General features: G+C 36.2%; 1 protein-coding gene across 2 annotated transcripts in view, besides 1 other annotated feature; it reads left to right on the top strand.

The window, feature by feature from the left end:
- Positions 1 to 23,859, top strand: part of EFNA5 (ephrin A5) — a 294,044-nt gene that overhangs the window by 37,516 nt on the left and 232,669 nt on the right. The gene's annotated exons all lie outside the window — the stretch shown is intronic.
- Positions 21,851 to 23,050: an enhancer, noted in NCBI's record as "MED14-independent group 3 enhancer chr5:106946073-106947272 (GRCh37/hg19 assembly coordinates)". NCBI's record gives its function as "activates an origin of replication core promoter dependent on BRD2, BRD4, P300/CBP and CDK7 cofactors, and independent of MED14, by STARR-seq in HCT116 cells {active_cell/tissue: HCT116}" and the evidence as "EXISTENCE:reporter gene assay evidence [ECO:0000049][PMID:35650434]".

Genomic DNA, 23,859 nt, shown 5'->3' with positions numbered 1-23,859 from the left:
GAAGGGCCTGGGCTTACTTGGCATCTTGTCAGGAGACTTTTCCCTTCTTGCTTTGTCCATGCTGAAAGGGACAGGAAAGGTGGAAAGAGCACATCGGGTTTTTACAGCCTAATTGCATGTCTCATCCTGGCTCTTGAGTAGAACTGGCTGGCTTACTTGTAATTCATCATGAAAAACACATTCATAATGTTTTTGGAGGAGTAGTTCACTTCGGGAAAGGACCATGAGTCTTGACCCCATTGGTATTAAGGATAACAAATGACTCACAAATAATGAAAGCAGGAAGAAATTTTTAAAAAGCAGAATGCATTTTAAAAAATGACCTCAATTTAGACTACTGAAGGACTTCCCTCTTGTTATATCTCTGTGTGTCATTTATTGGAAAGCAAGAAATAAAAAAAAATCTGCATTGTACACAAAAGTGCCCTTGTAACCAGAATTAGTTTAGTGCAGATTAAAGGCATAGAAAGAAAAGTAAAATACTGAATTATAAGGTGAATTCTACAATGCAATCTTGGTGGAGTTATTTCAAAAGGATAATTTTAAAACGTAAATATTTTGGGGTGCATTAGTAGATTAGGAAAATATTTTCAAAGAATATCCTCAGCAATTATATTGGAGATCTCCTATAATAGTTAAAAAGTTTGATATGCATAAGGAGAGTGTTTGAGACACAGCCTCTGAATTTTCTGTTATAGGCTTGCTAAGGAGAGGCAAGGAGATGGGAGAAAACAAAATTTCTCTGGGTAAAATTTGGTGAGATTTTGTTTACATTTGAAGGGACAGGTTGTGGAGCACTTGGTTACTGAAAGGATGTTCTTGAACTAGAATAATAAAGATGAAGAGAAGAACAAGGAAGACGGGGAAAGGATGCTGGAGGGGAGAATAGATGAGAAGGTAGATAACAGTATGTTAAAGAGTAAAAAAGTAAATAGTTGACAAGATGGGGGATTGGAGGTATAGTAAAGAGAATGATGAAAGGTCCAGTATTTGTGAGTCTTGCTTACCTAATGTATCCACACTATTCCTTGTTGGAATTTTGCTAACGTGTTATAATTTTTTTATGTGTTCTTATAAGTATATCAGAGTTTTTGTGGATGGATGCAATTTACAAATAAAATATGTTGGAGGAGAGGAAAAAAGACTGGAAAAGGGAGCAGCGGAAAGCAAGTGAGGAGAAAAAGGAGAAAGGAATAAGAATGAAGTAAGAATAGTGAGATAAAGATGGGGGAAATGGCAAGGCTGTTGAGAAGAGAGAAAGGAAAGGAGACGGGAGAGAGGTAAGTAAAGAGAAAAGAGAGAGATGAGAAGGAATTAGAGAACCAGTTGTTTATAAAATGCTGGTGCCTGCCATTACTGGCTCGTTCTTCCCTCTCAGCCATGTGCTGGGCAACTGGTGGCTGGAAGGCTGTGAAGTGTGGCCAGCATCTGTCTGTTGCAAGAATCTCCTGGGAGGTACAGCGAGGGTTTCTTTTTGGGTGGCTGGCCTACTTGCTTCCTTTCTAAACCAGCAACCATCCTGTGATGCAGCAGTGAAAAAAATCAAATTGAAACCTAATAAATTGCATATAAATACAAAACATCCAAATATATGTATTACTTTGAGAAAGCAGACCTCAACTAAAGCCTTGATAAACTATTCTGATAACTTTATTTCCCCCCTCCCATTTTCTTTCTAGGAGAAAATTAATACTTTATGTCAATGCTTTTTTAAATTGAAAATGATCAGAATATTTTATGCTATAAAGATAATTTAATAAGGTATAAATATTTATGTTTTTTGTAGGAAAATAAACATGTCTACATCTCAAAAATTATACAATTATATAAAGAAATTACTTATTTCATATCCATCAGTGTTTTATGGGAAGAGTTGTTCTTGTATTTTCATATAAAACAATAATTTTTTGGTATCCAGAAAAACTATTTGCTCAATGAGTGTCTACAAGGATACTCTTTTAGTTTTACCATAGGCAAAATTTGTATATTGTGTGTGTTTGTGTATATGTATATATATGAAAGACACATGTATATATATATATATGTACATGTGTATAAATGTACATTCATATATATGTGTAAAAATATTCCATATATATGAAAAGGACAGGGCATATGAGAGAGACAGAGAGTGTGTGTGTGTGTGTGTGTGTGTGTGTGTGTGTTTGTAGTCAGGCCCTATGTAACAATGTTTTTAGTCAACAAAGGACTACATTTATAATGGTGGCCCCATAAGATTATAATGGAGCTGAAAAATGCCTATTGCCTAGTACTTACTGTACTGTACTTCTTATCATTATTTTTGAGTATAATCTTTGTACTCACATATAAAAAAAGTTAACTGCAAAACAGCCTCAGGCAGGTCCTTGAGAAGGTATTCCAGAAGAAAACGTTGTTACCATAGGAGGTGACAGTTCTGTGTGTGTTATTGCTCCTGAAGACTTTTCAGCAGGACAAGATGTGGAGGGGGAAGACAGTGATATTGATATTTCTCACCCTGTGGAGGCCTAGGCTGATATGTGAGTTTATGTCTTCGTTTTTAACAAAAGTTTAAAAAGTAAAAAAATAAATTTTCATGAAAAAGCTGATAGAGAGGATATAAAGAAAATACTTTGTACAGTTGTACAATGTATTTGTGTTTCAAGCTAAGTGGTATTACAAAAGAGTCAAAAGGTTAAATGAAAAGTTTATAAAGTAAAAAGTTACAGTAAGCTAAGGTTAATCTATTATTGAAGAAAAAATATTTTTAATAAATTTAGTGTAGCTTCAGTGTCCAGTGTTCATAAAGTCTACAGAAGTGTACAGAGCTGGGTCTTCATATTCAGTCACCACTCACTCACCGACTCACCGAGAGCAACTTCCAGTTCCACAAGCTCCATTCATGGTAATGTTCTATATAGGTGTACCATTTTTTAATCTTTTTATAACATAATTTTACTGTGCCTTTTCTATGTTTAGATACATTTAGATATGCAAATATTTACCATTGTGTCACAATTGCCTACAGTGTTCAGAACAGGAACTTGCTATACAGGTTTGTAGCTTAGAAGCAATAGGCTATACCATATAGCCTAGGTGTGTAGTAGGCTATACAATCTAGGTCTGTGTAAGTACACTGTATGACTTTCACACAGTGGTAAAATCACCTAATGATTTCTCAGAACATTTCTCCTTCATTAAATGACACATGATTTTTTATTAAACAGACTATAGTTTAGAGCAGGGTGTTCCATCTTTTGCCTTCCCTGGCCACATTGGAAGAATTGTCTTGGGTCACACATAAAATACACTAACACTAATGATAGCTGATGAGCTTTAAAAAAATTGCAAAACAATCTCGTAATTTTTTTTTCTTTTTTTTTTTTTGAGATGGAGTCACGCTTTGTTGCTCAGCCTGGAGTGCAGTGGTGCCATCTCGGCTCACTGCAACCTCCGCCTCCCAGGTTCAAGAGATTCTCCCGCCTCAGCCTCCCTGGTAGCGGGGATTACAGGTGTGTGCCTCCATGCCCGGCTAATGTTGTGCTTTTAGTAGAAGCGGGGTATCACCATGTTGGCCAGGCTGTTCTCAAACTCCTTACCTCAAATGATCCACCCTTCTCAGCCTCCCAAAGTGCTGGGATTACAGGCATGAGCCACCATGCCTAGCCACATCTCATAATGTTTTAAGAAAGTTTACAGATTTGTGTTGGGCTGTATTCAAAGCCATCCTGGGCCACATGTGGCCTGTGGGCCATAGGTTGGACAACTTTAGTTATGAGCATTTTTAGATTTGCAGCAAAATTGAACAGAAGGTACAGAGATTTCCCATATACTCCCTGCTGCCACAGGTGCACAGCTTCTCCCATTATCAACATCCCTCACCACAGTGGTACGTTTGTTACAATTGATGAACCTACACTGACATATCATTGTCACCCAAAGTCTACAGTTTACATTAGGTTTCCCTCTTGGTGGTGTACATTGTATGGGTTTGGATAAATGTATGATGACATGTATTCCACTATTATAGTATCATACAGAGTAGCTTGATTGCCCCCAAAATGCAATGTGTGTGTGTGTGCCTGTTTGTATTCCATTAACATATATATGGAAAGGACAGGGCTTAATGTATTTTTTAAATACAGTTTCATATTTTTCTCCTTGGGTAATTGCTTTAAATGTAGAATATTTAGAATCATTTAGTAATCATTTATTAATATTTTAAATAACTAACTTTAAATTGGGTTTGATGAATTTTTTGTGTGTGTAGACTGACACTTAAAATGTTAGTTTTATTAAACTAATAGGTAATACATGCACGTAGTAATTTTTAAACAATATAATGGAAGTTCAAAGGTAGAGATTAAAAACATTCTATGCCTTTGAACATTCTTTCCTTCCTTTCACTAGAGACAAATAAATGACACTTTAGGAAAATCACTTAGGATGCCGAAGAAACTACAGTTTCAGATAAAATAGAGCTCTTACCATTTATTTTCTGTATTTGCAGAAAATACAATGATTATATGAGATAGTTTGTCCATCCTTTCTTCTTCGTCTCCTTATATGACTTGTTTTTAGTATTGTAATAATGAACAGAAGTGATATCAGCATCTTCCCCAGACCTCAAAAATACTACCTTTCTTTGTCCTAAATAAGGCCTTCTCTTTTCACAGCCTTCAGAAGACTAAGGGACAGCTTGCATGGGATTCACATCCATTTTATTTTGGCTTCATATTCCCTCTTTGAGTTACATTGTAGTTTTGCTTTCAGCCCATTACTCATTATCAATGTAATATTTAGTATTTATCTATGGTTCCCCTGGTATAATATGTTGTGGTATTTTCAATAATGTATAGATTAGCTACTTTTCTAGACTATGTCTAGCTTATAGTCTAAATAGGAAACAGTAACAAAAAAACCCACTTCCAATGTTCTATATACTTAGTGACAAATTTTCATAATGAATGGATTGGGGAAAGTGGAGCAAAATATTAATTCTAGGTACTTTTTGTTTTGAGTTTCATTTTATATGCTATAATATATTTTTAGGCTATGTCTAACAGGAACTGTCTAAAGTATTACAATATGTGTAACTTAATAAGCCTATTTATTTTTAAAATTAAAGTTCTCCAGGTGCTGGTAATATAGAGCATTTGATTCATATGAGACTTCTTAAGAGGCATCATGACATAACTGGCTTATTTTAGATGTTAGAACATAAGCTTTAGAAGCAATTATCTTCCACTAGCTGTGTAGTCTTAATCAAGTTCTTTACCTTCTTGGTGCATCGTTATTCCTATCTGTAAAATAGATATGATAACAATACCTATCTCACAGTGTTATTTTATGGATGACATTGAGTTATTATATGTGAAGTGCTTAGTACTGTACATGGCATGCAGTAAGAAATTAATAAGCATTAATTTTTATTATTTGAATGATATATTACTATAGATCTAGCCTAGTTAATCTTGATGCTTTATTTTAATTCATTCTCATTGAGTAATGACATGTATTTTGAAACTAAGTATCGTATAGCTCTGATGGAGATAATAAATGTATTTCATAATTGACAGTGAGCAATGCTAATGAATAGGACTTAGTCTCTTCTAGTAAAAACAAATGTTTGCAACTTGTGTAAACATCATTGTGGTAATTGAAATGGAAATTCATCAAATATAAAATACATGATTCAACAAATGAAAGATTACACTTAAATATATTTAAGTATATTTACAGCTGAGAATTAGTGACTTATGACAATGGCTTAATACTCCTTTTCCTTTTTTTTTTTTTTTTTTTTTGAGATGTGGTCTTGATCTGTCACCCAGGTTGGAGTGCAATGGCACAATCATAGCTCACAGCAACCTCGAACTCCTGGGCTCAAGCAGTCCTCCAGCTTCAGCCTCCTGAGTAGCTGGGACTACAGGCCCGTGCCACCGCATCTGATGTGGCTTAATACTCTTTAAACATTATTGTATTCTTATCTTAAATAGCATCCTCATTTATTTTTGGTGTGTGTTGTAAATGACCAGGCAGTAGTTAATGAAGACTTGCCTTGCATTTTGTTGAGAAAGAAGATAGTTCTGATATAGGAATTTGTATGCTCAGCACTCCCTCAGTAACAATTCCTCAGGTGAGAAACTGGCTGATAACATTTATTATATCTATGTGAAGAAAATGAATGTTTCATCCCCATTTGTTGGGATGAAGAGAGCTGAGAGCTCAAGTCATTCATCCAGTTACTCTAATGTGCTTTTTTAGTAATAGTATATTAATTTCACCAAAGTTAACAAACAGAAAGATTCAAAATGGAAATAAATCACTCAAATATTATGAGAAGAAGATTGAAAAGGTAGCACATACCTATTTTTTAATAGAAAGCAACCCTTAATGAACAGTTCCTGTTAAGGAATTATTAAATTTGATGATACTACACAGAAAATCTTACAATATTAGCCATGAATACAGCCACTGTTTACAAATAAGACAGTTAAGAGTTAGTTCCACAGCTTTGGTTTGGGGAGGAAGGAGGAATGGTCTGGGGTGGTCTAGGCATCCATTCATTTTTGCTCAGGGCACCACCAACTGTGAAAGTCAAAGAAATGCTGATAAGAAAGAAATACTTTTCACTTAAGTTAAAAAAAATCAAAACCAAACTTAAATCTAAATGTACTGAAAATAATGCTGAAACAGTCAGAGTTTAATAAAGAAACATGTTCTTTGAGGCTGTTAATTATATATGTAATGCCAGAGTTATGTTTTATTAAGGCAAAGGACCCAGCATGGGCGCTAGGTCCAACAAGGCTTCTGTCCACAGCATACATGTTTCATTCTCATTAGCAATTTACAGAAAATATAGCTGGGCATGGTGGCTCATGCTTGCAGTCCCAGGGCTTTGGGAGGTGAGGTGGGAGGATTGCTGGAGGCCAGGAGTTTGAGACCAGTCTGGGCAACATAGAGATATCCCATCTCTAAAAAAAATTTTTTTTAAATTAATTAGCCAGGTGTGGTGGTGTGTACCTATAGTCCTAGCTACTACCTAAGGGAGGAAGATCCTTTGAGCTCAGGAGTTTGAGGTTACAGTGAGCTATGGCTGCGCTACTTCACTCCACTCTGGGTGATAGAGCCAGAGTAAGAACTTGTCTCAAAAAAATAGTAAGAAAAAAAAAGAAGACATACTGTGTACTATTCTGTTTGCTAGGATGATGACTTGTGAATTTCAAATGGTGGTTCTGCATTTACTAAAGTTATTAACAACCATTTGTACACAGCACCACATTTTAATTGGACTAGGACTTCTATTTCACTCCAGTACCTAGGTGCAGCCAGTGCTTCATTAAATAACACTGATAATCAGTTCATAAGATCTTACTTCAGTGAGTGATCATCTGTCATGACAGACTTGAAAACAGGTTTGTAATGCATGAATTTATCAGTTGTCATAAGCAAGCAAAGGAATTGGCTTTCAATGTGTCTGTAGCTATAGTAATGAGGAGATTTGTTGAGCCTATACTTAATCTTCTATATTGTAATTTAAGAAAACCAACTTAACTATGTTCAACTAAATTGTACATTTCATTAAAATTTGAAAATCATAGTAACAAGACAGGGATTTCTGAGTTATAATCAATAAGACTAATTTAATTTAGGGGTAGCTGAGGAGAAAGATGAAAATCAAGTACTGTAGTTTGAATTATGGAAAGTGTCATATTTTAATTTCACAATTGGTTCTGGTGTGTTTGGGGATTTAGAATAATTTTATACCTTAACATTCAATCTTTATTTTCCAGTGAATAAGCTAATTTTAGATGATTGCTAAACCTGTTTCTGCTTGCTGTTATGCAATATTAGCTTTGGAATAATCTGGTAATTCTTACTTAACACCAATTAATAAGGAATTAGAGTAATAATTTTAGATGTGAATAAATTGCTTCAAATTATAACATGTTTTGTAGTTTATATAAATTGTTATTAGTGATGGGAAAATAATCAACAAGGCATGCTGCCTGCTGGTGATTTTTTTTTTATTTTTCTTTGTTCTGCTTTGTACATATATATTGGGAGAAATTGGTGATTGAATTCAATAATCATTCTTTCTTACTTATTGGTGGTAGCTGCATATAAGAATGCATAGACAATCTCAAAAACCTCACCTGTGAAATTAGAGTATATACCAGCTGGCCACCTAATGTCAAAACAGCCAATGAAATTTTCTCAGTTGAGTCAAACCAATGGCTATTCAGAAATAAAAATTTTAAAAAGTTTCCTTCTTTATTAGCTCTGCATAGTATTTCAAAAATTAGTTGCTACAGCGTAAGTTTGGAAGTTATTTTGGTGAGTTTCCGCTACTTTCAATTAATAAATCTCTCAGACATATTTACATGTTCACATTTTGAATTGCGTTAAGGCCAGCATTGTGCATGCATGCTGGATAAAAACACAGAAAGCTACAGGAATGTTAAAGTTAACCCAGTACAAATTACTGAAGCTATTTTTGTTTGGCTGAAATTGTATTAAGTAGTTGGTAAATGAATGTTTATATATAAAATATAATTTTTGTGAAAACCGTATTGTTTTCTCTTAATGTTGTTCAGAAAGGAGGTTTTAAAGGTAAACAATGAATACCTCACATATACTAGACACAAATTTTTTTGGGACTATTATATATGTTGTTACTTAGCATAAGAACACTAAAGGGAATTAGCTAAGGTTATTTGTGATTTTGATGGGTTCATTTTCAAAATGGCTGCTCTTTTGAGGTGGAGTTAATCCATGACTTTTATACAGGAAGACTATTTCTGCTGCAGATACTCACTATCAAGTTGTTGAAGTTTATGGAGAGAATATTTTTAGTCAACCAAATTAGTAAAAGTGATAACCAGAATTTGACAAAGGAATATAGACACCTGTGCTGGACCACATGTCTAGAAAAAGAGGAAAAAAACAATCTTTTAGGCTAAGCCTAAACCAAATAAGTGATCTACTTTATAGTAAAAATTGTGCCATCAGCATAATTATTACATTATGCTTAATGCACTGATAGTTAAAACTTTTGAATTCTATTATGTCTGCCATCATGTAGTGAAAGAATGAAAACCATGAATGTTGTATAATGTTCCTCACTGTCTGATTGGGCTGTTTTAAAGAAAATGTGTGAAGGATGTTTCTTATGCAGGTCGGAAGGCTAAACTTCAGCCATTGACTTTTGTCATTATAACTTAGTCTGTGGGTCACTTTTGCCTTTGAGTTAATATTACCTTTTAATTATAGATCGTTAGTGTCCTCATTTTACTTATTAAGGTAGGATGAATGCCCTGACAAAACTAGGGTGACACTTAGTGATATTGTAAAATCCAGATATACTAGATTAAGGCCTATTTCGGGTCTTAACTCTGCATATTTCTAGAGCAAAAGAAATTCTATTTTAAGAATGTGAATTGGATGAAGTAGGCGACTCCCCCACTTGTGTATTGGAAAAAAAATTCTACCTTTCTTTAGTTTCATTTTACTGATAATCTTTGGAATTTGGGGAGGAGGTGACTTAGAAACAATACAGCCCTGTTCAAAGAAATGAATTTTTAAAATCCTATAAGTCTTTACCACAAAACTTCTTTCTTGTCATTTTTTGGGTGACTGGAGAAAGAATTAGCACATCCTTAGGATCATAAAAGCTCTTTCTGCCTTTGTGATTTATAGTATTGGCAAAGTGGTAGTTGTTTTTTTTTTTTTGAATCTCCCCCTCCTCTTTTAAAAAATGTTTTTGGAAGTAATAAGGCAAAAATTACAAACAATAAATTATTGTAGTGATGGCTGTTCACCAGCCTGCCCACCTATTCATGCTGTACAGTACTTCATGGAAAGTTATGTTTAATGTCACTTAATGAGTCCTTAGAACTGGTGTGCTCTCAGACACTTTGATGGGCTGTTAAATTTACAAATGTTCTAGGGCTATAAATTATCATTAAACATTAGGAAAGAAAGAGTTTTTCTATGTATTTCACATGATTTATTTAAATTTATAACCCAGGAAGCTGAAAATAGGTAAGGATTTGGTGCTTCTTCTCATATATTGGAATTTAAACTGTATTTGGTACATTTCTGGATCTAGATCAGAGATAAATTTGCATGAAAACAAATGCAAACTCTTAATAAGAAGTCAGGTTAACTACTGATTATTCAGAGAGATGAATCTTAACTATTACGTGTCCTCTTTCTTCTCCTCCCTGCCCCACCATCTCACTGCTCATTAGCATCTTCACTGGTACCTCTAGATGAAATAAAAGGAAGTAAAACCCATCTGGGGAGGCAGTACTGTGTGATGGTTAGGACTGCCTTGCATTTAGTCAGTTCTGGGCTTGAATACTTGTGAGTATTCAACTTTTTTTTTTTTTTTTTTTTTTTTTTTTTTTGAGACGGAGTCTCGCTCTGTCACCCAGGCCGGACTGCGGACTGCAGTGGCGCAATCTCGGCTCACTGCAAGCTCCGCTTCCCGGGTTCACGCCATTCTCCTGCCTCAGCCTCCCGAGTAGCTGGGACTACAGGCGCCCGCCACCGCGCCCGGCTAATTTTTTGTATTTTTAGTAGAGACGGGGTTTCACCTCGTTAGCCAGGATGGTCTCGATCTCCTGACCTCATGATCCACCCGCCTCGGCCTCCTAAAGTGCTGGGATTACAGGCGTGAGCCACCGCGCCCGGCCGAGTATTCAACTTTTGAGACTCCACGTCTATTACTGAAATTCAATCCACCTGAATTTTCTAAGGAGTAAAATGAAAATAATAATATTGACATCAGGATGTTGTTACAAGGCTTGACTTAGAGAACGTAGGTAAACCGATTTGCAAGGAGTTGAGCATAGTAGCATAATGGAGATATTCAGTAAGTGGTAGCCATTATTACCCTTTTAGTACTAGTTATGCCATTCTAGCAGAAGTCTTGATAGAATAAGATACTAAATAATATTAGATGATAATGATGTGTGATTTTTCAACCATAGCTTCATATTTTTGTTCACCTGGAAAGGTTTTAATACCCATACTCAAATATCCAGATGTTGACCCCAACCCAGCAATTCAGTCAGGACATTTGAGGGTGAGACATGGGGATTTTATTAAAAGCTTCGTGGGTGATTCTGTGCAGCTAGGGTAGCAAAGCAGTTGAGAATCCCACTACTGTGCCATTCCTTAGGATGTAGTTTATGTCCTTATGGCTCACAATGGCTGCTTGGGCTCCAGACATCAGACTTACCTTCTAGGCAGCAGGATAGAAAAAAGAATTAAGAGGAACATGTTCCCTCCCTCTAGTAGGTCCCATATTTAGACTTGTCACATTGGTAAATACTTGATCACCTACTTGCCAGGGGAAATAACCTATAAAATTGAGTCTTTTTTTTTTTTCTTAAGGCAGTTATGCATTCAGTTAAAAAGTAGAAGAGTGATACATGGTTACATTACAGTTCTGAAAATGATCAAATCAAGGCAAAGTCAAATAGAGGAGGACAATATTATCTCCTGTTTAAATGCCTCTGTCTTCAACACCCATCTCTTTTCACCTTAAAAAACAGCTCATCTAAAACCAAACTCACATCTTGTTTCTTTTATGTTAATAGCAACTAAAATCTACCAAAATAGTACCTGTGACATCCTCTTTTCCTTCCTCTTTTTAAATCCCCCGTTATTTTATCCATTATTATTTAATAGTGATGGTGATAATAATTACATGTTTTCTAGTTTAATGCTCATTTAATCCTCATAATAAACCTGTGAATTAGGTATTAGTCCTATTTACACATAAGAATAAACTGGAAAGTAGCTCTCTCATGATCAGCTGCCTCAGGGGGGTGGAGCCAGGAGATGGATTCAGGATTTGCCTGTCTCAAAATGCGTTTTCTACAGCTTTGTGTTCCATGGCTTCCCTCATATAATCAGATATGAAATTTTGTTGACTGGACTTTAAGTAGGCCACATTGTTTTAGGGGGATCCTTTTGGTTGAGAGACTAAAATTGAAAGTCTCAGCATTTATTTTTCTTTTGCCCTTCAATGAGGTACCCATCCCTACTGTGAAGAATGACCACTTCTAGGCAGAGAATGGCCCAGTGCTGCTTTCTGTTGCAAGGATTCTTGCCAGTGCTGAGGGCTGGAAGCAGAAGCCGGCTTCCCAACCCTGGGCCTGTCTGGTAGCTTCTTTGTGCTTCTTTGTCCTCTCTTACTCCAGCCCCCCAGTCTGTTTTCTCCTAGATGTTTCTGCTAAAGTTATCTTCTGCCAGGCCTGTCTGCCACAGTTGCCTTTCAGAAGTGTGAATATGATCACATCTTTCTTTTGCTTAAAATTCTTGGATTGTTCCACATTTCCTAAAGGATGATTCTTTACCTTCTAGCCCCATCTTCTCATATTAATATTTACCATTGTCCTCCCATCCACTACTTTCTAGACATAACAAATTACTTTCCCTTCCCTAATGTTCCATTCTTTCTCACTCTCTTACACGTGATGATCCAAATATGGATTTTTCTTACTCCTCTGCTCCACCTTATTGGTTCCTGTTTATTCTTCAGTTCTCAGGTCACATTAGTTATTCCTGCTTCTTTGCACCTAAAGTTTTGCACATAAAACTCCATTATCGTAGTACTTATTTTATATTGTAATTATTTGCCTGTATTTTTTTCCTTTAGCCTGTAAGTTAATAGGAGGGACTTTTCAACTCTATTTTACCCCATCCTATTTTCTTAATTATGCATGGTAGGGGGCACTTAGTTCATACTTAAGAAATATTCACTAAAGAGTACATATCCTGAAATAATTAACTCTTGGAATACATTGAATAAGGGTCTTTTGCAGTGTTATCTTATGTTGCATTTGCCAAATATAGTGAAAAACAATTTGCTCTCTTGAAAAGGAAGCAATACTGAAAATACAGAACCCATTATTAAGTCAGAAAAAAATGTATTTTTTAACCATCTCTTTTAGCTGACTTGGTACTTCTCTCATTGGGAGACTGTATGTATAGACTTAGGCAAAAGAGAAATGAATCTTAACTTTCTGTGTATAACGTTCATAAATATGTAAATGCACAATCAGTTTGAAATAAGTAAGTTAGAGTATTTGGTAATTTACGGTACAAATATTGACAGATTGCTGCTGAATTGGTGGTGAAAGTAAATGAAACGTGGCCAGCACAATTAGGAGTTGCCCAAATGGGAATCTTGTTTTTGTTTTTTAGAAAATGAGAAATGCCAAATGTTAACAAAGATTTTGTCAATATTCTTTATTGTTGGAGATTTGTGCAACTTCATTTATAAATGAAAATCAGATGAAGGTTGACAGAGCTGGAGTTGTTAGAGGGCTTGGAAGGAAGTGTCTGAATAAGGCACTCTGTATCTCCTATCTGAGAAGCTCACTGAGGTTTGCTACTGTCAGCCTACAGTGCTTCTGCAGAGATCTGTAGCCATTTAGTGCCCTCGGGCTGATTTCTTTTGGAGATCTATTTACAAATGGGAAATTGGAGGAGTCACAGTTTTGTAGCCAGAGGTAGAAACAAAGGTCTTAGCTCTGTGTACTGTCTCTTAGAGAAACGAGTAAGCTGTTCTTTCTGTAATTCACAATTAGTAGAATATGATTGTGTGTGGGGGCCTAAGGATTGTGATGCTACTGAAAGACAGAAGAAAGTCCAGCTGATAGGCTAGGCGTGGTGGCTCATGCCTGTAATCCCAGCACTTTGGGAGGCTGAGGTGGGCGGATCACAAGGCCAGGAGTTCAAGACCAGCCTGACCAACATAGTGAAACCCCGTCTCTGCTAAAAAATATATAAAAATTAGCCGGGTATGGTAGCATGCCTGTAGTCCCAGCTACTTGAGAGGCTGAGGCAGGAGAATCGCGTGAACTCAGGAGGCAGAGGTTGCAGTGAGCTGAGATCAGACCACTGCACTCCAGCCTGGGCAACAGAGAGAGACTCTGTCTTAAAAAAAAAAAAAGAAAGTCCAGCTGATGTAGAATTCAGAAAGGAGCATGATTTAGATTAGAATTTACCTTCTTGCATTTTAATTTGCTTTGATTTTTTAAATATTTTATTTGGCAAGGCTTGCATGGATGACATGCAAGGTCAAGTGGAGGTATGCTATGTAATATATTCAGTTACATTTTGGTTTCTCAACAGTTTCTCTCAATGCTGTTGGTTACTTCACTCATGAGACACATATTTATAAGAGTACACAACTGGCCGGGTGCGGTGGCTCACACCTGTAATCCCAGCACTTTGGGAGGCCGAGGTGGGTGGATCACGAGGTCAGGAGATAGACACCATCCTGGCTAACACAGCGAAACCCCGTCTCTACTAAAAATATAAAAAAGAAATTAGCCAGGCGTGGTGTCAGGTGCCTGTAGTCCCAGCTACTCGGGAGGCTGAGGCAGGAGAATGGCATGAACCCGGGAGGCAGAGCTTGCAGTGAGCTGAGATCGCACCACTGCACTCCAGCCTGGGCGACAGTGCAAGACTCCGTCTCAAAATAAAAAAAAAAAAGAGTACACAACTGGCATAGGCACATTGGGAATGTGAAGAGGAATGATTATGGGTATATCCCTTAAGAAGGAGTTAGGATGGTTTTCTAAGCAAAAATATGAAAAGATACCTCATTCCTTTTTAATCTTAGTGGACACTTTCCCAAGTTGTGTATTCCATTAATTAGGCAGTCAGGCATTTTATAACATGTTAGTCAGAGACTCAAGTGGCATGTCATAGATTTCCTCTTGTTTTGTATAAGTTTTCTCCAAAATAGCAGACAAAAGTGGTTATTTTCCTTCTCATTCTAACCCGGACTCTGAAACTTTGGTGTGCTAAAACTGTCAGGAAAACTGTGCCTATCCTGTCATCGCCAAATCTGACATTTCTGAAGATTATGCCAAATGTATTTTCTGACACATTTCAGTTGATTGAAGCTGAGAGGTACTTCTTATCTTTTGATTTGTCAGTCTACTGGCCTGAGGAATATAGCTACAGTCCCTAGGAATCATATGACATGCGGAAGCTGAATCACTGTTTTCAAGTGCTGTCAATTAGTGTTTGGAAATGGAAGAAAAAAAACCCAGTGCATGAGAATGTCACAAGTTCATATAATGAATTTTGTTTAGAATTTCATGCTCACACATTTTTTTACTATTATCAAGTAACAGAAATACATCAAGATTTTATTATCAAATTAGCACTGAAAGCCTCAAATATTTCTTCTTTGGCCTTACTTTTTCAAAAGAAACAGAGGAGAATTTCTGATCAGGCTGAATATTTTGGATTGCATATATACTATGCACATAAAGATATTGTACCAAGAATGGGCATGGTACATAGTAGGAGCTCAGAAAATCTTTGCATAATGAATGAATGAAAGATTGTAGGTTGTGTGCTGGGTCTTTTTTTTTTCTTGAAATCCATGATTTTTTTTGTTTTAAACAGAGACAGCGTCTTGCTATTTTGTCCAGGATGGTCTCCTGTGCCTGGGCTTCTAGCAGTCTTCCCCACCTCCGCTTCGTGAGTAGCTGTTATAGTAGGTACACACCACTGTGCCCAGCTTGAAGTGCATGATTTTTGAATCTGAGTTTTTTATAGGTCCACTTACTTTAAGTAGATGCCCTCCTATCAGGCAAAAAATTAAACTGTATTGTGTTTCCACTTCTATTTGAATTTCACTCTAGCCGCAACAGAGCACTTCAGTCCAAATCCTGCATTGCCCATCTCAAGTTCTCCCACTAGAAGGTAGAAAAGAAGAATAGTACTTATATTATTAATAGTTATTAATTCTTCCTATTTCCTTTTGAACAAGTGGAAACTCTTCAGGCAAACTTGCCTCTCAATACGCATTTTCTTTTCTTCCTATTTTACTTACTTTCCCGCTTCATTGTCATGTCTGAAATTGCAGATAATGGTGGCGGGGAAAGCTGTTGTGAGCATTGGGTGGTGGTGCTGGTGGTGACTCTTTACCTGCTTCTCTGATTAGAAAGCAAACTTCCCCAAAACAGGCAGAAATCTATTCTATCAACTTTGATATCTCTCCAGGTTTTTAAAACAGTGACCAGCATCTGGTTGGTGCTGAATGAATGTTCCTAGAATTAATGGTTAAGTGAGTAGGAAATACTGTTCCAGTTCCATTTTCTCCTGTATTTGGAGACTCTGTGGTTCTCTCTCTCTCTCTTTCTCTCTCTCTCTCTCTCTCTGTGTGTGTGTGTGTGTGTGTGTGTGTGTATGTGCACATGTAAGTATGTGTAATGTTTAGTTTTTTTATGGGTTTAAATTTATGGTAAGGTAGGATAAGAGTAGCGGTATCTGCTGAATTAGGGTTAATATTTTCTGTGTTAAAGCTGAAGATATGCAGTGGGCAAAAGCCTTTAGATTTGGTTCTTGGTGATCCTTCCATAAAAGTACATTAAGGGTGGGTCAGAGTTTCCTCCACAAAACTGCTAATGTGCTCTCTGCCCTTAGACATAACAATCAGGCAAAGGAGTAGAAATTGATCCCCTGATTGGCTCCTGGAAGAAAATGAAATGTTAGGTCTGGCTATTTTCAGATGTAATCAAAAGGACCTGAACTCATTCAAATTAATATTTGGATTTATAAAAATGTGATTTTTGTTTGTTGAGTAAAAAGGATTGGCTCCTAAAAGTTCTCACAGTGTGATTTTGTAAGATTACAACTTGTAGTGAGTTTTTACTGATGAAGCTAACTGCCCAGATATAGCTACTGTTCAGATACTTGTTATAATTGACAGGATACTTTCTACTAGCAACTGAAATGTGGCTCTTTTCTTTCTTCCTTTGTCCAGAATACACACAGACACACATACACACGCACATACACACACACACGAGCAGCTCTGGAGCTTTCTTTTTATTTATTATTTTTTAAAAAGAATGTGCATGGACTTTATTCATGTATATTTCCTATACTGCATCAGCTCTCAGTTACCCACATGTGGTTTATTCAGCCTTGGGATTTATCTGCAGAAATTTTTCAAGTCCCAGGCTGCTCTCTGCTATCATCATTTGTATGAATTATGTTAGTGTCATCAGTGTGTGCTGCGGTAGTGCAGCCTAAACCAAGCATAGCTGGGAAGGCAAATCGACCCATCCCCTCTATATTATATTCTAAAGCAAAACATTTATCATTTTTGTCAATCTTTTCCCCTTTGGAATCATTCTACCCATTATTAGCACACTTGACCATGAATTATATGTGCTCTGATTAAAGATAAAGTACCACATAAAATAAAATCTTATAATTCGCTTTCATTCTCCAAACTTCTTTATTGAAATTAAATCCTATTGACTTCATCAAAGATGCTACATGGAAAGGTTTTATTGAACTTGGGTTACTGATTTCAATATAATACTTATTAAATCCAAACATAGTTTTTCTGTCTCTCTAACCCCCTGCTTAAAATATAATACCAGATCTTGAAATGAAATATAATTTGAAGAATAATTTATAAATGCAGAATTGTTCTTTCTTGTTTTGGATATTAAGTATCTTTGGGTTTTAACCATAGTCTATTTATCTTTCTTATTTTATGTAAACAAGGTGTGTGTGTCTAACTTCTGACCCATTCATTCAGTGTAAAATACAGCTTTTGCTGTAACTGGAGGGAAGAAAAGATGGACGAGCGACCCCTCCCTTTGTGTTGATTATATCTCCAACTGACTGAGGTTTCTCGTCATGAGCTAAAAGAATGATTAGTCAGATTTTAAGTGAAGCAAGCTTTTAGAGTGCAAGAGAATTTTTTTGTTTGTTTGTTTTTTGGTCTGCTCTCTAGAAACCAGAGAGGAAAGGATGCATAATGGGAATCTGTACTTGTGCATTTCGGCAAAGATCTAATCTTTTTGAATTCATTGCTTGTGAGTTATTATTTCTAATCATACGCTTGATTGACTCCAGCTAAATGACTGTCTGACTGCAAAGGCAGGGGTGTTAAATCCAAAACTGTAAGTGCGCATTTTAACTGAAAATAGGGATCATCACGGAATGCCTTCTCAATCAGTAGTGCCTGATACCACTCCCCCCTCCCCCTGAATGTTTTTTTAAATAGAAATTCTCTTGCATCCTCATGATGGAACAGAGCATCACAGAGCATGATTGAGCTCCAAGAGAGAAGATTGAAACCCTAGAGGGGATATCGAAATGATAAAAACTGAGGCTTCCATGGTGCCACAATGAGTGTAGTTAATATGCTACTTTAGTCTGACAAGCCAGTCAGGTGCCCCTTAAAACTCCAATTTGTGATTACCTTGTCATTTTAAAGATTTTTTTTTTTAAAGGTGGAAGAGAAACAAGGTTAGTGGTAATTTCTTTTTAGGAGCAGAACTTGGCCATTTCTCTCAATACTTTTTGCATGAAAATCTAGTAGATAACCTAATTTTCTTTTGGCAGTTAACATAGGTATTTTCCAACATCAAAACATTTGTGGCTCCTAAATAATTTGTTTAAAATAGAACAAGATAAAGTAAAATCCCATGTCTGAAAAGGAAATGACAATAAAAGCTGAGCTTTCTAAACATATGGCATATTTTTTTGTATCACTTTAAAAAATAGTTGTTAAAGAATTAAACATTTATATATAGTGCTCATTATATTATCATAACTTCTTAATAAGATCTGTTTATTATATGACTTGGATCTTTGCCTTTCTTGCTTTAATATGGCACAAATACTCAAAAGTTCCTTCTGGATTTTTGAGAGAGAAAATGTTACACAACCAGGAGTCTTACAAGAAATTCATGTGAAAATCTTGGCATGACTATCCTGAAAGCTAAGACAACCATTGGTCTTGGAGAAAAGACTCCTCTCCAGAGGGAGTTGCAGGTACTCAAAGATGGTATGTGTGTGTTGTCTTCAAACTAGGCAGAATGATAAATGGACACATGACAAATGGTCTGAACACCTTCACCTGGGAGAAAACCATCTAAAGCTGAGTGTTATCTCATATGACTAACTTATTTTTTAACAGTATATTTCCATGATAATTTAAAAATAAATTGCACATTTTACATAAGGTAATACTTTGTATATGATTTGACATTCTTTAAAATACTACCTGATGTTATGAAAACACTTGAAATTTAAACATTGTCAACACTATGTTAATATGTCGAATATTCAGTTGGTTTATGGTTTAAGAGTAAAATTTTAATTTTTTTCTCAGTATCACAAAGCTTCCTTCTGGAAGATCCATCCAGTTTTGTCTTATGCCTGGGGAAGAGACTGAAGTTGCTGTGAACTAGTTCCAGCAAGAAGTATTATCCGTGTAATGAGCAGAGCAATGATATTGTGGGGATATGGATTATGTGTGTAAACTACACAGGGTGTGATAGTTGGGTGTTAATCTGTTTTTGAAGGTTCATTAGATGGTGAGTAGGAACAGGTTCTAGGACGACTGAGTTCTCTGAGGATCAAAAGGTTAGATAAACTGCTTTTAGGATTTATGCAGGGTACTGATTTTCATGTCAGTTTAATTATCCTTATATTTTACAAAACTGTCAATCAGGATGCCTAGAAATCGTATGGAATTGGAGGCTCTGAAAACTTTTGAGTCTTTTCTGATTGGGTTTATCTGATAATCATTCTTTTCATGATGACCTTAGTTGAAATGAAGAGCTGTTAGAACTACAAGGCCTGCTTTAGTGTCAGAAGAAGATTTAATCAGGAGTCTTATCATCCAGTGAGAAAAATGCCTTTCATTCTCTTTTCATTTATTTGAAATTACTTAGTGATTCAGGAATCTCTTATTGGGGTCATTTACTTTGATTTTTAACTTAGCAATGTAACTCTTGAAATACTTTATGTAAATGATTTCCTTCAAGGTGCACTGTGTTTAAAAAGCTATCAATCAATTGAAAATTGTTTTTAATTTATTTCACTCTAGAAGCATGATCTGTCAGGAGGAAATGGAGAGAGAACAGAAGTTCATATAGCAAGGGTCATTCTATGCCATCCAAGCATCAGTTTTTAACGGGGTTTTGGTGTTTTCATCCATTTTAGGATACTTAAAACATCTTGAAGATTGTTTTAATTTGGTGGTAGTAATTACATTGGCCATATTATAGTTAATAACTTACATATCATTTCTTTAACCCCATAGGCATGAAAAAAGCAACTTAGATGATATTAAAAAATACCCTCAGCAATTTTTTCTAGGCCCATTACTTTTATAAAACACTTGAGATTTTATTTTTATTAGTGTAAGACACTTAGAAATGAGTAACTAGCAAATAAACTTAGTGATATAATTCAAGTTTATGTTGCTTGGTTAATAAAATGTACAAAATCACAGCCTTTCCCAAGGTTTTCCTTCATCTTTTTTTTTTATTGCGAAAGAAAATTGTTAAATTTATAGAGTTTCAAGTCTTTCAGGAAATTATCTTTAGTTTTCTGTGTTACTGTATCACTGTTCGTAGATGATGAAGCAATTTTTTTGGCTTTTGCCAAAGCAATGAGTCTTTTAGAAATTTTATTTGGAAACTATTTATTTTATTCCCTGTTTTGCTACTGAGTTTCTATGTCTAGAAGGTTATTTCCTTTAACTTTCATTCATCTAAGAGGATTCTGGGATCTTATTGCAGATTTTACAGTCTGGTAAACACAAAATGTATTCTCATAGTGACTCTGTTCCATTCTCAGCAGTTCATTAAGTAGGCTTTCCCTGTATTAATACAGTGACTGACGGGAATATCACAACCCTGGTCTTTATATTGGAGAGCTGCTCACAGCTTTGTTCCAGTTCTTCACTGTGCATTGCAGTGATATGCTTCTGTTTGCTTCTATATCCTGACTAAACAAAGAACATGCTCTCACTGATAACTTTTTAATACTAATTCTGTATGGACCTTGACAGTTACCAATTATGTTTACTGTCTAATCAAGGTAGATATTTTGGATGAACTTTTTTTTTTTAAATTGCATTTCAAATTATATTTTAAAAAGAATTTTTACTTGACCAGTGTTTTGCTTGCTTGGGCTATTGATGATTGCAGTTTCTAGCAACAAATAGGCTTTCCTGGTTGTAACCTGTCTGGTTTTAAGAGTTCAGAGGAGGCCATATAAGATGGTCTTACCTGACATTCCTCAATAATTCATGTATTTCTGGATTCTATATAATTTTATTATGTTGTTATAATGCAACTCATTATACATGATATAGAAAGTATAATTAATCAACTTTACATATTTATCAGTAAAATTTGCCTCCCAAGAAACATCAGAAAGTAATAAGAGAAATAAATGTAGTACTAGTAAAATAACCTGAGATAATTTTTGTGCAGATGCTTTCTATTGAATGGTGCTATTTGAGACATGGTAGAATTTATGTTCAAATCCTTTGTTAACTTCTGAAGAAAGTACATATATTTGAAGAATATCTGTTAATCATTGCTAATTCCCACTTTCCATCCTATGTTAACATTATATTAATATGTTGTCAAAATTATTGTGCAGATAGGAACAGAAGCAGTTACCCATTTAGTTTCCATAAATGAAAACGAGCAGAGAAAATGATTTGAAATAACTACTCCTTACATATTCGTTTTTTCCTTCACTGCTAACAGTGTGCTTTGTGTTACTAATCAAGTCAAGGACTTGGGTTCATGCTGCATTCAACTAGCTAATTTAATTCCTTTTCAGTACTAAAAATGCCCATCCGAGCCCTGGCCTGCTGCCTCACCAATATTTATCTTTGGAACCAGTTGAAAGATCACTGTGACTATAGTAGCACAAACTTAGATCTCCTGTGAATAAAAATTATAAGCTCATGCTCTGTGTCCTGTCATATTCACATATTCACAATTAGAACCCAGAATCCTCAAAGAGAAAAATAAAGGAAATAACCTTCTGGATGTATGTGTGTCACTGAAATAGAATAAAGAAAACCTAATATATTTACATACCGGACTTGAAGGGTCATCAAAGTAATCCCAACCCTCTTTTACTATATTGAGGAATACGCTAAGGCAAGACTTGAGCGAACCGTTTTACCTTGTTTCCCGTGGAATTTTACAAACATAGGTTTTTGTGGGAAACGTGTGATTTTACATAGCAAAAAGGTGTATGCTGACACAGTATTTGCTTCATTGTAGGTTAAAATATCAACTAATGTTTCATTTGTACTTACTGGTTGAATGTAAAATGATTTTAAACAGTCTCTTCTGTGATACGATTTTTGTAGCTTTTCTTAAACTATAGCATTTCCAGCTTGGTTTTTATGTCATTATTTTTGTCGGTGGGCTCTGGCTTCATATGCGTGGTGGAGTGATAAAGCTGTGTTGCTAGGCAGAGTTCTTCCAGGCAGTTCATGCTGGGCTTCATATCTGTCATTGCCCCACTTTCATGTTTCTATGAGGATGGAAATGATTTGAGACAGAATATCATTGGGAATAGGCGCATAGTTAAATGCCCAGGTCGCCTGATTCTCCATTGAGTCATCATGAGTGTCTCTGAACAGCGCCAGTGGTATTCTTGGCACGCGAGGCTCAGCGGGAATAACACTGAAATAGCAAAGATCGAAACCTGCGTTGCTAGAAAATTCTCTGCTTGCTATATGACCTTTTCAGTCTTCTACCTTTGAATATGTGCCTATGCCTCCGTGCCGCTATGGAAGGCTCAGGGCTGCTAGAAAAAGTGCCAGGGAGAAGGCGAGAAGAGATGTGAATAAAATGAACAATGGGTGACACAGTTGTATTAATTTTTCAAATATTCATGGAATTTATATCAGGAACTGGGGACTTTGACACTGTATGCACTGAAAAATAATCAAAAGGTAATTGTAGTTTTTCAATTGCAAAAATTAAGAAAGGATTAAAAAAAGAGATACGTTTTGTGATGATTCAATGATAGCATGACAGTTTTATCAAAGGAATAGAGTGGCCCCAAGTAGTCTGCCTTCATAGAGACAAAGTATCATGTTGAGTCTAATAGTTGACAAAAACAACTGAATCTTGGCTTTTTCACGTAACGTGTTTGGCTGTATTAGTATATAAACTAACAGTCGAAGTGCTATGTGCTTATTAGGCTTTTCAAAATGTCTGCCAGGCTGTGGAACTTCTTCAAGCGGGGCGGGTGCGCCGTGAGGCTGGGTCTGCTCAGCTTGTCTCTGTAAATGCTCCCCTCATGATATGCCTGAAAACCTTCAATATTATAATAATGCTAATAAAAATGGAAAACTCTGAATTCTTTATAGATGCGTAAAGAAGTGTAATTTCCCTGTGACCTGAATAACTCTTCGAAGGGCTGCTCTGGCCCCTTTGAAAGAAGGCAGCTCTACTATACTGCTTTGTGTTCCTTTGAACATCTTGCTATCTGACTATTTTAAGGACGGAAATAATAGAAGAGAATTTAACTTGGGGTTACACTTTGAAGGACAGGTGGGATTCCCTCCCATTCCCACCCTGCAATTTTCCCCCTTCCCTTTCTATTGAACATTCCTATCTGTCTCATTCTTAAATGAGAGGTGATCTTGTTGATGAATACAATTAAATGATAATATAATTTTTCACTGATTCAGACTCTTCCACCTTTTGGTTTTGTCCCTTTGATAATCGTAAATTGGATTTGTTATCACGACCTTTCAAGAGGCACCATTCAGTCATCTTATTCTAGTCGGCGGCGGGCAGGGGCACGGTGGCTGGAGGAGGGCTAAGGTGGAAGGCACAAGGACTGTGTGTTTGGAGGCCTGTGGCCTTGGGAAGCATGGCTAGTATGGTGCAGGTAAATTTAGGAAGAAACAATTTTAGCAGAGATCCGTTTTCCCTGCATAACACTGTGGATGGAGTGGTGGACGCAGGGTGAGGCGACTTTGGTGGTGCAGCCTCCAGCTCTCACGTGGGCTCAGCGGCAATTTTTCTTCCCTGT

Source organism: Homo sapiens, chromosome 5 (assembly GCF_000001405.40).
Source record: "Homo sapiens chromosome 5, GRCh38.p14 Primary Assembly".
Classification (NCBI taxonomy): Eukaryota; Metazoa; Chordata; class Mammalia; order Primates; family Hominidae; genus Homo; species Homo sapiens.
The sequence above is the reverse complement of the archived record's forward strand: the minus strand, read 5'-3'. Positions and strand labels throughout refer to the sequence as shown.